General features: G+C 34.9%; 1 protein-coding gene across 6 annotated transcripts in view; it reads right to left on the bottom strand.

Annotated features, from left to right (window-relative positions):
* The window catches only part of LRRC7 (leucine rich repeat containing 7), a 576,443-nt gene that overhangs the window by 82,329 nt on the left and 475,665 nt on the right, over positions 1 to 18,449 (bottom strand). For 4 of the 6 annotated variants that reach the window (NM_001330635.3, NM_001366838.3, NM_001366841.1 and 1 more), the window contains one exon: positions 8,891 to 9,010. The exons of 1 other annotated variant lie outside the window; for it this stretch is intronic. In NM_001330635.3, the coding sequence (NP_001317564.1) occupies positions 8,891 to 9,010 (120 nt within the window). Of the gene's footprint in view, positions 1 to 8,890; positions 9,011 to 17,941; positions 18,083 to 18,449 lie in introns of all 6 variants that reach the window. One more of the 6 variants, NM_001370785.2, reaches the window with a different exon arrangement.

Below are 18,449 nucleotides of genomic sequence, written 5' to 3'. Positions count from 1 at the left end.
ATCAAAAGTTCTATAAGGTATAATTTTCATCTACCTACCTCTCCTTCTCCTAACCTGTCCTAACTTGGAGGATGTTTGTGTGACAGTGGTTGACTGCCTCTCAGGTGACCGGCATGATTGTAACTACTATTTAAAAGTTCCTTTTCAACCAGAGGTGAAATTAAAGAGTAGGTACTTATTAGTCACACAAATAATTCAGTTCTAGGTTATTTCTAGTAGATACCAAAACTCCAAGGAAAGTATGGTTGCATTTCCGTAGATCTAGAGGTAATTTTCAAAGTCTCACTGGAGATGAAGGCTCTTTTTATTTGGACACATTTGATATCTTCCTACTTTTCCACTTTTTTATGTCCTGAAAAAAATGGCTTTTGGTCAAGAGAAAAACTGCATAATTTCTGTTTAAGAAATGTCTCTCCAGGGGCTACAGATTGTGCCAAACATTTTTTAAATTAAAAATTATAATTATATGATTTAATCAATCTGGCCTTTCACTGAACTCATTTCTTGTTTCTGGGCAGAGCTTACTGACAGTGAATGCATTTGGCTGCTGTCTCTTGAAGCTACTTTTCCTCAGCAGCCTCAGCATAATATGCTGTTACCACAGAAACCAATGCAGCCTTTATACTGCTTGACACAAAGTTCTAAGTGACACCACCAAAAGGAGGGTAGGGGAACAAGATGAGGGAAACAGAGAATCTCCATCTATCTAATGACTCAAAAGATCCCTTTTCCTAGCATTTAGAAAGCTGTTTGGAATTGAGAATGACTCTCTGAAAGGAACTCCAATTTGTTTCTGAGTTTTAGGGACTGCCTAGTCTACCAGAAACAACATTAACTCTGATCAGTGAAAACTTTGCTACTCTCGGAGGAGAAAAATGAGGCTTGGGAAAGAGAACCAGGAAAGAGAAGTGATGATTGAGACTGGTATTAATTACTCCCAGTGATGGAGAAGATTGTTCTCATTTGCTTATGAGGCTTGGGAAAGAGAACCAGGAAAGAGAAGTGATGATTGAGACTGGTATTACTCCCAGTGATGGAGAAGATTGTTCTCATTTGCTTATGGACCAATGAAGTAAAGACATAACTCCTGGGGGTTCTTCACTGTTAACAACATGCATTTCTTTGGGAGGGAAAAAATACAAAGCCTAAGGCAAAAAACAATTCTACTTGATATATTTGCTTCTGTACAAAAGGAGAATTTAGTTACAGCATTGACAATCACTCAGGTTTTAGAATCATTTTTCAATTTCAATTTTACTCTAAACCAGAACAGATATTCTTGACTTTGAGGTTAACGGAAATAAGAAACAATTCTATTTCCGCATCTCTTATATGTAATATTTACCTGGTTGATTTTCATATCTGCTTCTTCCACATCTTGACTTGCTTGCTTACAGCCTCATGATCTACTCTACTTTCTGCCATCTATTTTTTTCCAATATTTAAATCCTCATCTCTCTCTCTCATCTATTTCAGACTTTCTTCTATTTCTATTTAAATAAGCTACATTCACCCCAACCTTTTGACATAAGGGACCTCAACAGCACAATGCCTATTCTCAGTTAAATTACAAAACCAAAAATTATAGTTACTTTTATTCCAGTTCTACATACACAGAGTACTGATAGCAATATTTCTTTTCAGTGGAAAACAATTTCAATAAATTTACTTTTCAGTGACTGTAATTTAATGATTTTTTTTTGGGGGGGTGGGGTTGGAGTTTTGCTCTTGTCACCTAGGCTGGAGTGCAGTGGCATGATCTCTGCTCACTGCAACCTCCACTTACTGGGTTCAAGTGATTCTCATGCCTCATCCTCCCCAGTAGCTGGGACTACAGACGCACACCACCACACCTGGCTAATTTTTTTTGACATTTTTAAAGTAGAGACAGGGTTTTGCCTTGTTGGCCAGGCTGGTCTCAAACTCCTGGCCTCAAGTGATCCGCTTGCCTCGGCCTCCCAAAGTGCTAAGTGCTGGGAATACAGGTGTGAGCCACCACAACTGGACATAATTATCTATTTTAGATATTTATAAAATAATAAAATGTATTTATTTAAATTTCTAGATATATAGGTTGAGGTGATTTTTCTTAAGTTGTACTTTTAAATATCTTTTAAATAAGTTGTACTTATTTTAAATGACATTGGTTTACTCTGATCTTCTGAAAAGTTTTTATAATAGACTGACTTATATTACCAAGTAAAATCCCAGTAGGAATTTGATCCAGTTATTTTAAAGCACAAATGATGATTTGGCCATATGGTTGACAGAAAAACAATTTATGATTTTCAAAAGATATTTTAGATCTTACCTTTCTAAATTTTTATAGAAAGAAGCATTGAAATGTATTACATTAAAAAACATGACAAATGCCATAATTGAAATAAGAAATGAATATTCCTCCTGAGAAACTTAATAAAAAAATCTTTAAAAAAGTATTTTAGAAAAAGCAAAAATGACAATTTGGGGTTGGGGTGGGGGTGGGGTAAAGGAAGAATAATAAGAACTTGAAAATGACCACACACACACACACACACACACACACACACACACACACACACTTTCTTCTAGTTTCTTCTTCTGATAAATTCCTAGGCATGTCTCAGAGATGACAATCCTGGCAATCCTGAAGTGCTTAATAGCTGAACTGATATTGTAGATGTGAGAAAATCACAGGCAAGTTCAGCATAAGAGGTAAGTTTGTGAGCCAAAACTAATCAGCAAATTTTTAAAGCCTTCCTCTTCCTCTGTGTCCATCCTGATATTGACCCTTGTTATCCATCTTTATTACTCCAACTGCCAAGTCATTATGCACTTAACCTAGAACACTCAGGGAGGGAACAGACACTCAGGGTGGAAAGAGTCACTGATGCTAAAGGAGACCTTTGAATGCCTAGTCTTTTGTTACTAAAGAATTTTCAGATTTTAAAATGCTAGGATTTTATAGTTTCTTGGTTATCCATTCCAGAAGCGAAGTGTTTGGTTTCATTGGTTTTAATATGTCACTGTAGCCTTTTGGCTGCAATGTTTTTCTGCTCCATCATTCTAACATACTCTTGCAGATATTATCCTTTAATTTAACATTTTATGGATATTCAATGTGTTTAAGACTCCTAATACTTTTAAAAGAGTATCATTTTAGAATTAGGGCAAAACAGCCTTGTCATCCCTATAGAGGATTTGACCAAATCAGAGTGCAATGTCTGAATTTAAAATAACATGTTTTTGCATTTATCTTTTATAGTATCACCTTCATATTATTTTCTGTTACATATAGGAGGGAAATATAAAATGATAAGTTACCCAGGTGAGCTTGGCAAGTAACCTAACCTCTGAGTATGAGTTTCTTCTTTAACAAAATAATAGTGCTTACTTCATATAGTTGCTGTGAAAGTTAGATAAAGAAATACATTAAAGCATTTAACACAATGCCTTATGTAAAGATTTAATACATGAAACCAAATATTCTGACTATAGTGACTGTGGCATAATCCGATAGACTGTAGGAGTAACAGAAGTGATGTAATTAGACTCTAAAATACAAATTCTCCTTCTGAAACCATGGTTGTTTTCAGCAATTGCAAAAGTTTTAAACAGCAGTTCTTAAAGTATTCATATAATACTGCCTGGAATTTTGGGGTGTCAGATTTACATAGCTATAAAATGTTCTTCTAGCAGTGAATCCTAAACTTTTAATACTAATAGACATCAAAATTTGAGATTTTGGGCCGGGCACAGTGGCTCTCGCCTATAATCCCAGCACTTTGGGAAGCTGAGGTGGGCAGATCACTTGAGGTCAGGAGTTTCAGACTAGGCTGGCCAACATGGCAAAATCCTGTCTCTACTAAAAATACAAAAATTAGCCAGGCGTGGTGGTGAATGCCTGCAATCCCAGCTACTTGGGAGGGTGAGGCGCGCGAATCACTTGAACCCAGGATGGGGAGGCTGCAATGAGCCGAGATCACACCATTGCACTCCAGCCTGGGTGACAGAGCAAGACTCTGCCAAAAAAAAAAAAAAAAATTGTGAGTCTGGGACTGCATAGCAAGAGAGAAATAAAATCTACCACCTACTTTTACTCCCTTAAAAAAAAAAAGACAGCATTTAACACTCTTGGCATTTTTCCATCACTTTGCCACTCTCAGGTGCACAGGACAGGGACAATAGATACAGGAGCAAAATTCTGAGAAATAAACACTTCTTGTCCAATTACTTTATGTGTCTAAGGTTTTGGATCCACAGCTTGGAAGACACCCACATTTGTTCTCTATAGTGCTTGAAGTACTGGCTGGCATGGCCATGAGTAACCAAAAATCTATGATAGCCAGAACAGAGAGCCACAAGTTCAGTCAAAGACTTTCCATAATTTCCCTCCAAATCCCTACAGCATTACTGTGGTTTCTGATGGCTTAGTTAGAGAGACAAGATTAAAAAAAAAAAATCTACAGAGGCTTGGAGAAATAGACTCAAATTGGACACTGGCTAAGAATTCTTCACCACTTATTCTCCTTTGATTCCCCATTCAATTTATAGTTCACTTTCTATCTTTCCATTCCCATTATGTCTAGCCTAACTGCTCACTCCGTGACAACTGCAAAAATAATATTAACTTTTAAAAATGTCATTGTAGAATCAAATAGAAACCCAATAACTAATAGTATAATTATCGCATCTATTTCAGTAAATTTTGCAGCCCAGGCTAATACTCCCATGACCATTTTTCTTTCCTTAGGTTGAGTCTCACTGAATATTAACTTGACTATTCAACTAATATATAATATATAACAAAAACTAAATTTGAATATTTAAAGTGGTCCTTATTCTCTCTACTCTGAGAGGTGATAGGTGGACATATCTATTTATAGGTTCAGAAATCTCGGATTTTAGGCAAAATTGCTATAATATGGGATAATCAGAACCTGCTTATCATAATAGTAGGAAGAAGACATGGTACATTTAGTACATTACTTCTTTCTTGAGTTTTACAGGTTTCTTTACTTACCCCTTAATGCAGATTCCTATGGATTCCCCCCCCAACATTTAAGCAAATTGCTTTTGCTGAGATCACCAATGACCTCCTTGTTGCTAAATCCAAGGAGCCTTTAGTCATACTTATCTTGCTTGACGTTTCTGTGCATCATTTGACAGTTGACCGTTCCCTCCTTAAAACATTTTTCCCTCACTATTTCCAAAGTGTTACTTTCCCTTGTTTTTCCTTTACATGTTTCTTGCATAATTGAAATTGAGAGCCCTGTCTACTCTACGCCAACTGATCAGACAAAGCCAGTCATATAACTCCGTTTCTTTTTCTAGGATGGGAAGTCCTTAGCTCTTTTGGGTCAATGAGATGTAAGATGAGGCTTGTTGAAAGACTCAGGGAAGAAAGGTTTTGCACATAAGAGAGAGCTACAATAGAAGCTTACTTCTCTCTCTTGCTGGATTTGAAAGAGGAAGTTCATATTACCAATCGCCATTGGTAGTAATCTTATAATTATGAGAGAAACCAGTTTTAGGATAGAGCCAACAGCGTGAGGGCAGAGTGGAATGGGAAAATAAAACGCTAAGTATTTAATAAGAGAGAACCAAGTACTAAAGTTGAGGCATAGTATAAATCTCAACTACTTCTTATGTTTAGTGAAGTATTTCCTTGAAGTTCAACGTTTCCCTTGAATTTTCTACAGCTTGCAGTAAAATCGCTGTATTGATCTAATCTTTGATTATTTCTTTTCTGCCTATTCTTCCTATGTACTGTACATGTCTTAAATGTTGGTGTTCCATGGAGTTCTGTTCCATGGAGTTCTGGGCCATCCTTCTACCTCACTCATGGCTCAATAATACATGTTCTAATGATTCCTAAATTTGAATCTCCAGCTAAGTTTTCTCTACTGAACTTAGGATAAATATATCCAAACATCCACTGCACATTTCCACTCGGATGCCTTAAAGCTACCTCAAATCAACATGTAAAAACCTAAACTCTTCTCTCTTCCTCCAATTCCACCTATTACTCTTTCTGTATTTCCCATCTTAGTGAATGGAACATCATCACTCACTTGACCACATTAGAAGCTTGGGTATCAACCTTGGAACTTTTATCTATCTCTATGCCCTATGTCCAATCACAAGATTGTTTTGGTTCTAATATTTATCATGATATTGGATCTATGAATTTGTTATGGTTTGGCTCTGTGTCCCTACCCAAATGTCATGTTGAATTGTAATCCCCAAGTGTTGAAGGAGGGACCTAGTGGGAGGTGTTTGAATCACGGGAGTGGATTTTCCTCTTGCTGTTCTTGTGATGGGGTTCTTATGAGATCTGGTTGTTTAAAGGTATATAGCACTTCCCCCTTCTCACTTTCTGTCCTACCATCACGTGAAGACATGCTTGCTTCCCCTTTGCTTCCACAATGATTGTAAGTTTCCTGAGGCCTTCCTAGCTATACCTCCTATACAGCCTGAGGAACTGTGAGTCAATTAAACCTCTTTTCTCTATAAATTACCCAGTCTCAGGTAGTTCTTTATAGCAATGTGAGAATGGACTAATACAGCATATCTTTCCACCACCCATTGTTTCCATTGACTTTCACCTGAATTACTATAGAATCTTCCTAACTAGTTCCATTGCGTCCAGTCTTTCTCCTCACTAATTCATTCTCTGAAAAGCTGTCAGAGTGCTCTTTAAATAAAAACTTGATCATGTCCTTTCTCTGTTTAAAATACTTTATATTCCCCTTCTCATTTCCCACAGGATAAATCCCAGCATGATCCGGCTTCTGCTTATCCCTCTAGTCTTATTTGACACCACTGCTCTTAGTTTCCTCGCTAAACAGGTGCCCTTTCCAGGTACTGTCATAGCCCTGTATCCCATCTTAGCATTAACCACATCATATTATATTTACCTGTGGTGCTGAATATTACCCAATAGTCAAATTAATAACATGCATAAAATAAATGCCTGTAAATCAGTGGCATTACCAAATATTTTGGATAAAATAAAATTTGATATTTAATGCATTTTTGAAGTATTGAAGTGGTCATCAAGAGAAAAATCACTTAAGTAACAAAGAGTGTAAGTATGTAATACATATGTAGGTTACAAAGCACAATTATAAAATGAACACTCATGAGCTTAGAAAGTAGAGTGTAGGCCGGGAGCGGTGGTTCATGCCTGTAAACCCAGCACTTTGGGAGGCTGAGGCGGGTGGATCAGGAGGTCAGGAGATCTACACCATCCTGGCTAACACGGTGAAACCCTGTCTCTACTAAAAATTGGCCAGGCATGGTGGCAGGCCCCTGTAGTCCCAGCTACTCGGGAGGCTGAGGCAGGAGAATGGCGTGAACCTGGGAGGTGGAGATTGCAGTGAGCAAGTGAGCAGAGATCGCGCCACTGCGCTCCAGCCTAGGCGACAGAGCAAGACTCCGTCTCAAAAAAAAAAAAAAAAAAAAAAAAAAAAAAAGTAGAGTGTAAAGAACCATAATTCAATTTCAGAATTAGAACAGTTCCAGCAATAATATCCACTTTCTCCCTGATTCCATCCCCTACTTTACCTTTAGAGATAACCACAATTCTGAATACTACATTTACCATTTACTTATAACAATAGGTTTCTTATGTACTTATGCTTAAATAATATATTTTGAGTTTTGCTTGTTTTGGGATTTGTAAACATGGTATTACATATGTATGCCATTTCCAGAAACTTTTTCTTCCATTCAAATTATGTTTCTAAAGTTAATACACATTATTGTAATTATAGTTTACTAATTTTTATTGCTTTGAAATATTCCTTTGTGTAATTAACAGAATTTATTTACATACTCTCCTGGTGGTAAACATTTGGCTTTTCCCAGTTTTCTGGTATTGGAAACATTTCAAGTACCCTGAATGACATGTATGATAATTTTTCTAGTTTAATACCTTAAGAGGAGAATTGATGGAATGTCGAGTATGTGCATATTCAGCTTTGCAGGAAAATTTGTTACCAAAGTGATAATGTTTCATATTCCAATAAGAAGTCTAAAAGAGTTTCCATTGCTCTTATACCTACAAACGACTTGTATTTTTCAGATTTCTTAATTTTTGCCAGTCTAGTAAATGTAAATGGCATATCTTTTGCATTTCCCTGATTGATAAAAAGGTTCAGTTTTGTTTTAGTATTTATTTACCCACCTGATTCCCCTTGTATTTTACCAGTTTAAAAAACTGTGTTGTATGTCTTCATTACTGATTTGTAAGAGCTTTAAAAAATATATTTTAGAATACAAATTCTCCCTTCTCTCATATATGTGGCAAGTATCTTATCCCAAGTTGTGGCTTTCTTTTTACTCCTGTTGTGGGGATCTGTTATGTAATATTATAATTACCTACTTATCACTCAGCACACCTTACTAGATAAAAAGGCTCTTGAAGTAAGAAACTGTCTTTTTCATTTTTGTTTCCTCAATATCTAGCAAGTGCTCCACACATAGCAATGTACATATAGTTGTTCACTGTTTGCTGAATCAATTGTCATAACTTTAGAAATAGTGAATCAAATTTTCTTTTAAGCAAACTGGTTACAACACACTGTTAAAGCCAAGAGAGTCGGAAGTATGTCACATATCATTCTATATGTGCCTTTCAAAGGTGGGTGGTAAGAGGTAAGAGTATCTGTAGAGAGGTTGCAGGATGTTGTTTGTAAACATTCATTACCAACTTTGAACAGTTGGCAGTGTTTATTTTCCATTCATTTCAATGTACTTACAGTCAACCAAACTCGTGTAGTAGCATAATATTTACCTTAAAGTTATCACAAACTTAGAAATTATGATAAGACACAAAATATTTATTATATATTGCAGTAGATTGTGCAAGGTTCATGGTTTGTCTTGTTAATTAAAAATTGGTTACCTTCTTAGTAATGGTGTCCGGAGGTACATCCCGCCTCCCAAGTGGATAAGGATTCCATTGGCCACTAGGAGATACATCTTCTTGTCCATTGTCTAAAATGTTGCTTTGCTGGGACGGGGTCTATTGCAAAAATGGTATGGCATTCTTTAGTGATGTAGTAGAAGTTTACCATAGTTTTCTGAAAAGAGTCCCTAATGATCATGGTAAAATTAATTTTGTTTAATTGCAGAAAAACATACATCCTGAACTGCAAATATTATATACTATTTACTGGGTAAGAACTGTAAATTGAAAGCTTTTTGGAAGCAATGAAAAATGCAATTAAAATAACCATCTTAGAGTTGTTCACTGAATTTTAAGGAAAAATTTAGATTATTTACAGTACCTGAATAAAAATAATCAGAATAAAATTAACCAATTGTTACAATTATTAAAAACACAGCACTTAAAACTTGCTTAATTTTAGTATAATCTCACCATTTAGAATAGAAATTGAAACCATACAATACATAGAATATAAGTTCTAATATTCTAAGCCATAACCTAAAATAAATTTTATAAGGTTGTATTGATTCTGGGAGAATATGCCTTGCACTAAACCCAAATAGTGCTAACACTGGCATAGTGCAAGATTTATGGTACTATGGCGTTATCAACAAATAGCTTTGGGGGGACATCAAAAATATGCTATTAAAAATGTGCTATTAGAATCGTAGTGTAAGTAAATCATGACTGTTTTGATTACCAAATTTATTTATTTATATAAATGATATATATTAAAATTTAAACTCGTCATAAATATTTTATTTTGGCTGATTTCATGCTTATTATTTTTAACAAATACTAATACCTGCCTGTCTTTATTTTGGGTGAATTTCATATTCTAACCTTAGTAATAGCAAGCAATCACATACCATCAGAAAGCCTCCAGTGGAGGGATGTACAATGGTATATTTACATATATTTTCACAAAGGCTCCTTTCTTCCCTAGTGTGTAAGATACACAAGTACTGCTTGGTTTCCTGAGGGAATTCTTCTGTGGTTGAGCTATTATACTCCAGTGTTTCCTATGCCATTTTCTGCACATGTTCTAAAGGATCCCTACTGATAAAGCCCAGCTAGAGAGTGTGCAGCTATATTTTGTGTAAGGAATTGTCCTCCTACCCTACCTAGAAAGGGAGAACTGGGCTATTCTCATCAAAACATGTTAAAAATGGGCGTTTGCTAAGCTTTATCTGGTTATATTGAGTGGTCTTAGTTTGTTCTCTTCTGAAAAACAATGATAGAACCTCCTTACCTGCATTCTAACCACAAGCATTTTTTTAAAGGCATTGCTTGGAAAAATTCTAAAATAGGATTTAATATGACACTAGATGAAGTCTTCCTAGGATCTAATGGATATAATGAAAATTAACTCAGTTTTCTTCTTGTTCTTTGGTTATGTGAATTCTTTTTTCATAAGCCTATCAAAAAGTATGAAAAAAAAAAGAGAAAAAAGGTACTGAATTTAAGCTCCTGAGTTAGGAATGAATTGGTGTGTGTTTATTTGAAAAATTCAATCTAGACAACATGTTTAAAGTATGTGTTACTTCAAAATTAGCAGGTAGCTATTCAACGACTGTCTGTTTTCCAGCATCACTTTTCTAGTGTTTACCTTTTCCAGATTAATATGTTTACATATGCCCATACACAATTTTTTCTAGATATTAAAATATGGTAAATAAAAATTAAAATTAAGAGTTAAAACATAATTATTCAGGTTAAGCATTACTGGCCAGGGTTTTCTTTTTGAATTTTTAGTATTTATCTTTTCTGACTTAGTTTGTTTGCTAGTGAAGTGGGATAATTAGTATGTTCATTTGGCCAGGTCTGTGCAATGTAGATTTTTAAGAAGTGGCCACAATTTAACATAGGTTTCCTTTTTCTCCACATCCTCCCCAACTCTATCTGTATTTCCTCCACCCAGACATGTTTCCAGTTACAGAGAAACTGAGAATTACAAATTCTTTTTGGTGTTAAAAAATGTGAAATCCTTTTAGTCAAAATCCTAATATAATGGTGTAGGTGCTTCACTAGTTTATAAATTAATCTAGTTCTTTTCAAAATTAGAATTAACAATCACACCAAGTCTCTATTACAGGGGCCAAAAGGAACATAAACATGCAGACACATTAAAAAGATACTTTCACTAGGTAGCAAAATTAAAGGAAATTCCTGAAAGCAATTTCCTTTTAAGAATACTCTGGCCTTTTTGTTTTTCTTGCATGAGACACCTTAGGGATGGCTTAAGTCTGCAGAAATAGAAAGATCATTAAAAACAATTTATTGACATTTGGTGATGGTGGTGGTTGTGGTGGTGCAGACCAAAAAGAGAATCATGTGCATATTCTTTCCCAAAGGAGTATAGCTATTGTATATAAATTGAGTAGCTCAGCAGTTAAAATTCTATTAAAGGCTAAAAGGAGCTACTGAAAAATGTTAAAAAAATGAAGCTATCACTGTTGAAATTTAATATTCCAGAGAAAATAATTGAACTGAGGTTCAGCTATTAATTCAATTATTTTTTTGCACCACATTCTTGATATTTTCTTTGGATATTTTAAGGAGTAAGAATGAGTTTTATTTTCCTCATCATATATAACTAAATATAATAACACAGAAAATCATCACAATGCACTATTTCCTTAGCTTCTAAATTCTGCAGGTCTTTAAATATTTCAAAATAATACAGAAGATGGCTGGTGTGATTTAGTGAAAAATCAGAAATTGTATTTGATAAGACATGCAATAATGCTGAGTAGAAGTCTTGTGGAACAAATGCTATGCCCAAAGATGAGTGTGGGTATTTGTGGATTTAACATTCGTAATTTTGACTGCTATGAATGATCACAAGTGTCTATTTGATCAAGTAATTTCTAATTTTGCTGAGACATAAACGTGCATGCATATGTATGCCTCTTTCTCTATATCTATATATGTCGGCACATTTGTATGAGTAAGTGCATGCATGTGTGTTCTTATGTATATATGTGTGTATAAACATGTGTGTGCACAGTAGTCACATAAGTGAGTTAAATAAGCTTAGATGGTACAGCAGCTTTGCTAATTGATGGGTGTACAGTATGCTTGTGAAATCACACTTATTATTACAATTATATGAGAGTGGTATTAGAATTTGGCAATTTGCAAAGGTCTCAGGGCATATCTCTTAAGAATACAAGGATCTCTTTTGCTAAATAATTGGCACATGGTTCATAAAGGACATTACCACAGATTCAAAAATCTGCAGTAAAAATTGTTAAAAACAATCTCCCCCAAAGTTTTTCCAGTGAAATTATTGTTATATTATTCATTTCCATCTTATCTTTTGGAAAAAATAGGTATTACAAAGGTAAAAATATGCCAAGCCTGGATCTAAATGACAGTGATTTCATAGGCTTCAATCTGAAGGTGGTAATATAATGCCCAAGTTATTTTTAAACCAGAATTCCATTATAACGAAATTCCACATGAGTACTAAATTATTATTTTGGTAAATTTAGTCACTGTCTATAAGAATTTATTTGGATTTATAGGCTGAAAGCTTTTTTCATAATTAGAAAGGTAAGTGAATCTTTCTTGAGGGACAGGTAGCCAATAATAAATGCAGCAGAATCAATAGAAATTATAGGCATGAGTTGCCCTGAGGTGCAGCGTAAATCTTGCTTTGCTTTCAGCAGAAAAAAACTGCATTAAATAAGCCACTAAGTCTTGGCACTAGGGTGAATAAATGCATACCAAATGTTGGTACTATCTGATACTGAGTCATTTGCATATATCCAGAAAGAAAGGACATTAGACATTTAAAAATAGTTTAGGTGCAAATATTGCTATCTAAATTTCTCTAACTCAAAATCTGGTAGGATGAATATCAACTAACTAATTTCAATCAACTTTAGTAAAACAGATAGTGAGGCCAATTTCTTCCATGCAAAATTCTATGATAAGATAATTTATTACATATATTTCTACTATTTTAGCCTTCCCTCACCTGAAATTATAATTAATTTATATTAATGCCTAATTCAATAAGCCAACTAGCAGTGGATGCTATGGTATGCTGTTATGGTGGTAGAAATTAAAAAATGAACAAGAGAAAATTATCAATTTATCCATTATAGAAGAGACCACACTATTTATATTAGCAGCCAGCCACTTGCAGACATGGGGATAGGAAAGGCCAATGATTTTCTCCCCAGCCCTGCTTGTGTCTAGGGCTGCAGTAGCCTGGATGATTAATGAGTTATTTTCTTGGATCCATAACCTTAAGCCTTTCACTGCTACCAAAAATAATTCTTGGTGATACTGAGTGCTCAGGAAACGCAAGTGGATCTGAAAAAGCACAAGATAATTACTGGCATTCATTAAACTCAGCTAACTAAGAAAGCACTAACCTGTAGCACACAGGGCATGATTGGGGTCATGATATGTTTTGGATTAGTTAATATATTCTACTTGTGTATTCTTTTCTCCATCCTATAATATCTACTTCTCTAGATTATTTTGAAGATGATGTGAGGTAATAATGTGTATGGAAGAGGTTTTTAACCTATGAGTCATGTTCTATGAAAATGTTAGGTTTTACAAACATTTGAGAAAGCATCATCATAGAGTAGAAAGAGTATGTATGTGGGCACCAGGCAGAAGCAGATTTAAATTCTACCTACTACTATGCTAAGTGCAGGAGTTATGACAGTGAAACAGTGACAATACAGGTGAGTTCTTTGGTGTAACACATGAGCCTCAGTTTCCTCATCTATACAATGGAGATAAATATGTACTTTGAGGGTTTTATGAGTTGCAAGACAAAATATAGTTAAAGTACCTCATAGCACCAGGTACATAGTAGATTCTCAATAAATCCTTGTCTTTATTATTCTCCCAGTGGAAATATCTATCCATTCTACCATTAATTTTGATATTAAAAATGCTGGTTTGAACTAGCATTTTACAATTTGTATTTCTCTATGACAACATAAAATTTCAAGACGATAGCTAAGCTTAATTACAAATAAAACACATCCAAAGAAGCACATGGAACCATTAGTAACATCATAGAAAGTTGCCTTATATGCTTTTTGGAAAGGCAGTAAATAAATGATAGATGAATAAATGAATGACTGAATGAATGAATAAAAAATCAATAGAAAATACTAATAATTCTATAATTTAATAAAAGATTTATATGTTCTAAATGTTCTGGTTCCTAAGTATTACTAAATTTTCTGGGAAATTAGCATAAGCATCTAAATAAATGAATATATTAAGGAAATTAAATTTATTAAACTAATTTTGTTATATTTGTTGGCATTTTCTTAATATCTGAAAGAGTTCTATAAAATTATAGAAGATGTAATTTACTCTTTATAGTATAGAAAGCCTATATTTAGCTTGTAATACATGAAAAATATACCATACTTGATCTGACATGTAATAAATATGAAAAAATGAAAAATATTTAAAATACATTGCAAAATCTTGAAGAGTGCTCCCTTTTTGTTCATATAAATATTCACTATGTAAATAGTTTATCAAGTGCAGAGTTCTTCAAGCTTCATTCACAAATAATTATATCCTTTAATTAGTTTATTACAAATTTGTTTAAAGACAGCCTTGGTGCAGGACAAGAAATATAAAAAAGTTTCTTCTTTGTCCTAGTTGCAAGAGGCAAGCCTTGGCAAACAGAGAGGGTGGGGATACATGTTTCCTTCGGAGAGCAGCACCTGCACAAATGGATACTACAACTCCATTTCCAGTGCTTAAATTCTAACAGGTGAAAACAGATTCCTTAGGAAACTTCCTTCATTCTTTCTAGGACACCCCAGAGTCACTTGCCACAGCATCTAACTAGAGATAGCTAGTATTATCATTCAATAATTTTATGAATAAAAGAGACAGCTTCAGAATTTCCACAGGAGAAGAAACATTTATGTCAATTTTATTTGCTGAAAATGTTTGTTTAAAAATTGGTCTTACCCTATATTTTAGTACAGTTCTTATGGCTAATGAGTATTTAGGGGCTGCAAAGAAGTCTTAAGGACCTGAGATGGTAATTTTTACTATCTTAAGTAGAAAGATAAACATGTTATAACAGATTTTTATGCATTTCTAAATCAAAGTTAAGTAATTTTTGCCTATCTCCTCTCCTGGGGAGAAGGGTTCAGGGAAATTGAACCTCAATCATGGGACCTGTTAGCAATGGTCAGTGGCGCCCAGGAGGAATAATTGGAGAGACTGCATTTTAAAGAGAGTTTGACTCTAGAGTGTGGCAGAAAAACCTAACAAATTTTCAAATGAAAGCTCTGTACAAGAGACGTATCAGGGTACAAAAGTGAAGGGACAGAAGCTTAGACTGGAATTCGTGGGAGGAAGCAGAACCCAGAGCTATTATTGCAGCTGATTAACTATCCAGTGCCTGATAAGGTTCCTGCATTGGTGATGGGGTGGGAAAGCTGTCCCAGATGCCTAAATGCTTAAAGTTTATAGGACTTAAAGTGGTAAGTTTTGGATCATAAAATCTTTTGGAGTAATGCATTACTTGCCCTGCTTATGTATCTTTTTCCTCCCTTGCCTTCTCTACTTTTCTTCTTTTTTTGGTGCAGATAATAAAATATTGACGATAATTTATTTTGAGGTGGAGTCTTTCAATACTTGAATGATTCTTGATTTGCAATTAATGTAGCTTCCAAAGAGAATTCGTTTTGGTCATCTCTGTGCTCAACTGAGGACTATTGAAAGTCCCCAAATATAACTCTGTATTATTTCTTCTTAGAGCTCGCAGTAATAGTGAGTCCATTCTCTAGGGTACCCCAAATGACATCAGGAAATTAATATGCTAATACAGTGATATCTAATTTATATCTGGAGAGTAATTTAGATGTTAGGAAACATTGTTTCAAGTGTATTGGCATTTTCAGATACTGTATATATCTATATTGTCATACAGATTGATAAGTAAATATGGCCAAAAATTAAGCCAAATAGGGGCATCTTCATATGATATAACTTCAGGGGGGTTCAGGCAATAGCTTCCATCATGCCAAGATCTCTTTAATTTGTTCACTGAATTTTGAAATTCAATTTTTTTAGTTTAAAGGTTTGATATGGTTTGGCTGTATTCCCATCCAACTATCACCTTGAATTGTAATAATCCATATGTGTCAAGGGTGGGGCCAGGTGGAGACAATTGAATCATGGGGGCAGTTTCCTCCATACTGTTCTCATGGTAATGAATAAGTCTCATGAGATCTGATGGTTTTATAAATGGGAGTTCCCCTGCACAAGCAATCTTGCCTGCTGCCATGTAAGATGTGACTTTGCTCCTCCTTCGCCTTCCACCATGATAGTGAGGCTCCCCCAGCCATGTGGAACTGTAAGTCAATTAAACCTGTTTCCTTTACAAATTACCCAGTCTTGGGTATGTCTTTATTAGCAGTGTGAGAGCAGACTAATACAAGGTTTGATTTCTATTTAATTAGCAAGCCCTATAAGAAAGGTGCCTATTTAAAGTTGTGATATCTCATCTATTCCTTAATGCAGTTAAGTTTCAAGGTCTTTTTGAAAACTGGTTTTGTTTTAGGGAAGAGGATGAGAGTCTTGGGCATCCGAGAGGACATGAAGAACAGGTTTCATTAAAGTAGGAACTCAAGTAAAAATAGTCATGCTGATGGTGTGTTGGAGCCAATTTGTATTGGCTCATGAGAGTCAACTGCACGTGAATCTTCCCAATTCTAAGTTCAGTCACATTAAGTTGGTACCTTGAAATTAGCCATAGGGAGAGTATTTATATTGCTGACATTGGCAGATACCACAAATCAAGGCCTTGTCTTTCTCCTTGGAGAGAAAGTTACCAGCACTCCACTGGTCCTGCAGTATAGACCGGGCACAGCAAAAACAACATTCAAAAGTTTTCAATTTAGTGTTTTTTTTTTTAAAGTTACGGTGAGTGATAAAAAAGCTGTGGCTACAAATGTCTTCTTGATTTTGTTATTCTACTCACAGTATGAACCAAACTGTCCACAGTTTGGGAATGTTATTAAAAAACTAGATTAACAATAAAACAGGAATTTGAGGTCTTATGACCCTCATTTTGATGGGGTGAGTCATAATGTTCATTCATTTTATTAAGAGGGAAGAAGTGTTTAGAAGTTACTGTCATTCTATTATCCCTACTTTGCACTGCTTTTTCATAAAAACTTACTAGGCTAATGACAATATAAATATATAGGCATAATGACATACTGTGAAAATGACTCATTGGTTTCCACTAAAATGTAACTAAGACAGAAGGCATTAATCGATCTAAATGTAAAATGTGCATTCTCAGTTTTGGCTGAATTAAACAAACAGAAATTTTCCTTTAACAATGGAAATGTTTCCTCTTTCAGTATATTCCCTTTCAGTGTTCCCACATTTTCATCTAATACCATGCAAACTTGCTACTTTTCCACTAACCTAGTTTCCTAAGCCACAAACTTGTTTCTCATATTTTTCTTCTGTTACAGTTCCTGCAAAAAAATGGGCTGAAGAAGCACTTATAAGTACCAGCTACTTAATTCTCCTAATTTAGGAATCTATGTCTTTTCCAAAAGAATCAGTTGAAATCCAACAATAATTTTGAGCTCTGTTCTCAGAATGCATCACCAGGACGATAGGACTATCTCCAAAAAAGTAAAAAACATATATATAAACACAAAATAAAGAAAAACAAAGGAGGAAAAAAGGAAATGAATAATAAGAAAAATGAACCTTGAAGCAACACAAAAAGCCATGTACCTGCTCAATCCAAAAAGCAAAGCTCAATCCAAAAAGCAGGAACCTGATAATCAGTCCAGCTACAAATATTCATTTAGCGGCTAAGAGTTCAGGCTCTACATTACTTGCCCTTGTGCTTTTTGGACTCATAGGAGCCTATAGTAAGCAGGGTTGTATGTATAGCCTAAACACATTAAGTGAACAAACAACATTAATTGGCTTTGGTATGCTGACACATGTAGGGCAGTCCATACTTACTTTCTGAAGAGGTAGTTCTTGATGATCAAATTTAGACTTAGTCTGCAAGTTTAAAGTCATGCTTCTGCCTGCATGCATTGCTGAAATACCTCCATAGGGCAGCATGCCAAGGTTAACTGTATTGTGTTTGTAAGCAGCATTCTGAGTAGAGGAAATAATCATGTGACAGGGTGTGAACACATGCTCAACAAACTGATAAATTACATGAACATGTTTAAATTTATAACATTTAACTTTAGGCAGGCAAACAGTAACTTTTTAAAAAAACATGCACTTGATCAGACAGAAGCATACAGTAAACAGTGTTAGTTATGCACATAATGAGTACCATCCAAAACTACAGAAAAGACAAAAAGCAAAGAAGATACATTCTGTTTTACATCTGCTGCTAACTCAACGTCATAAATTCTGTCTCTTATACATCGTGATAGTAGTGACTTTGGACAAGTATTATTCGTCTGTGGTAGTCTATTCATTTAAAAATTCGAACAGTGAGACCTTAAATTTT

The sequence above is a fragment of the Homo sapiens genome, chromosome 1, assembly GCF_000001405.40.
Source record: "Homo sapiens chromosome 1, GRCh38.p14 Primary Assembly".
Taxonomy (NCBI): Eukaryota; Metazoa; Chordata; class Mammalia; order Primates; family Hominidae; genus Homo; species Homo sapiens.
The sequence above is the reverse complement of the archived record's forward strand: the minus strand, read 5'-3'. Positions and strand labels throughout refer to the sequence as shown.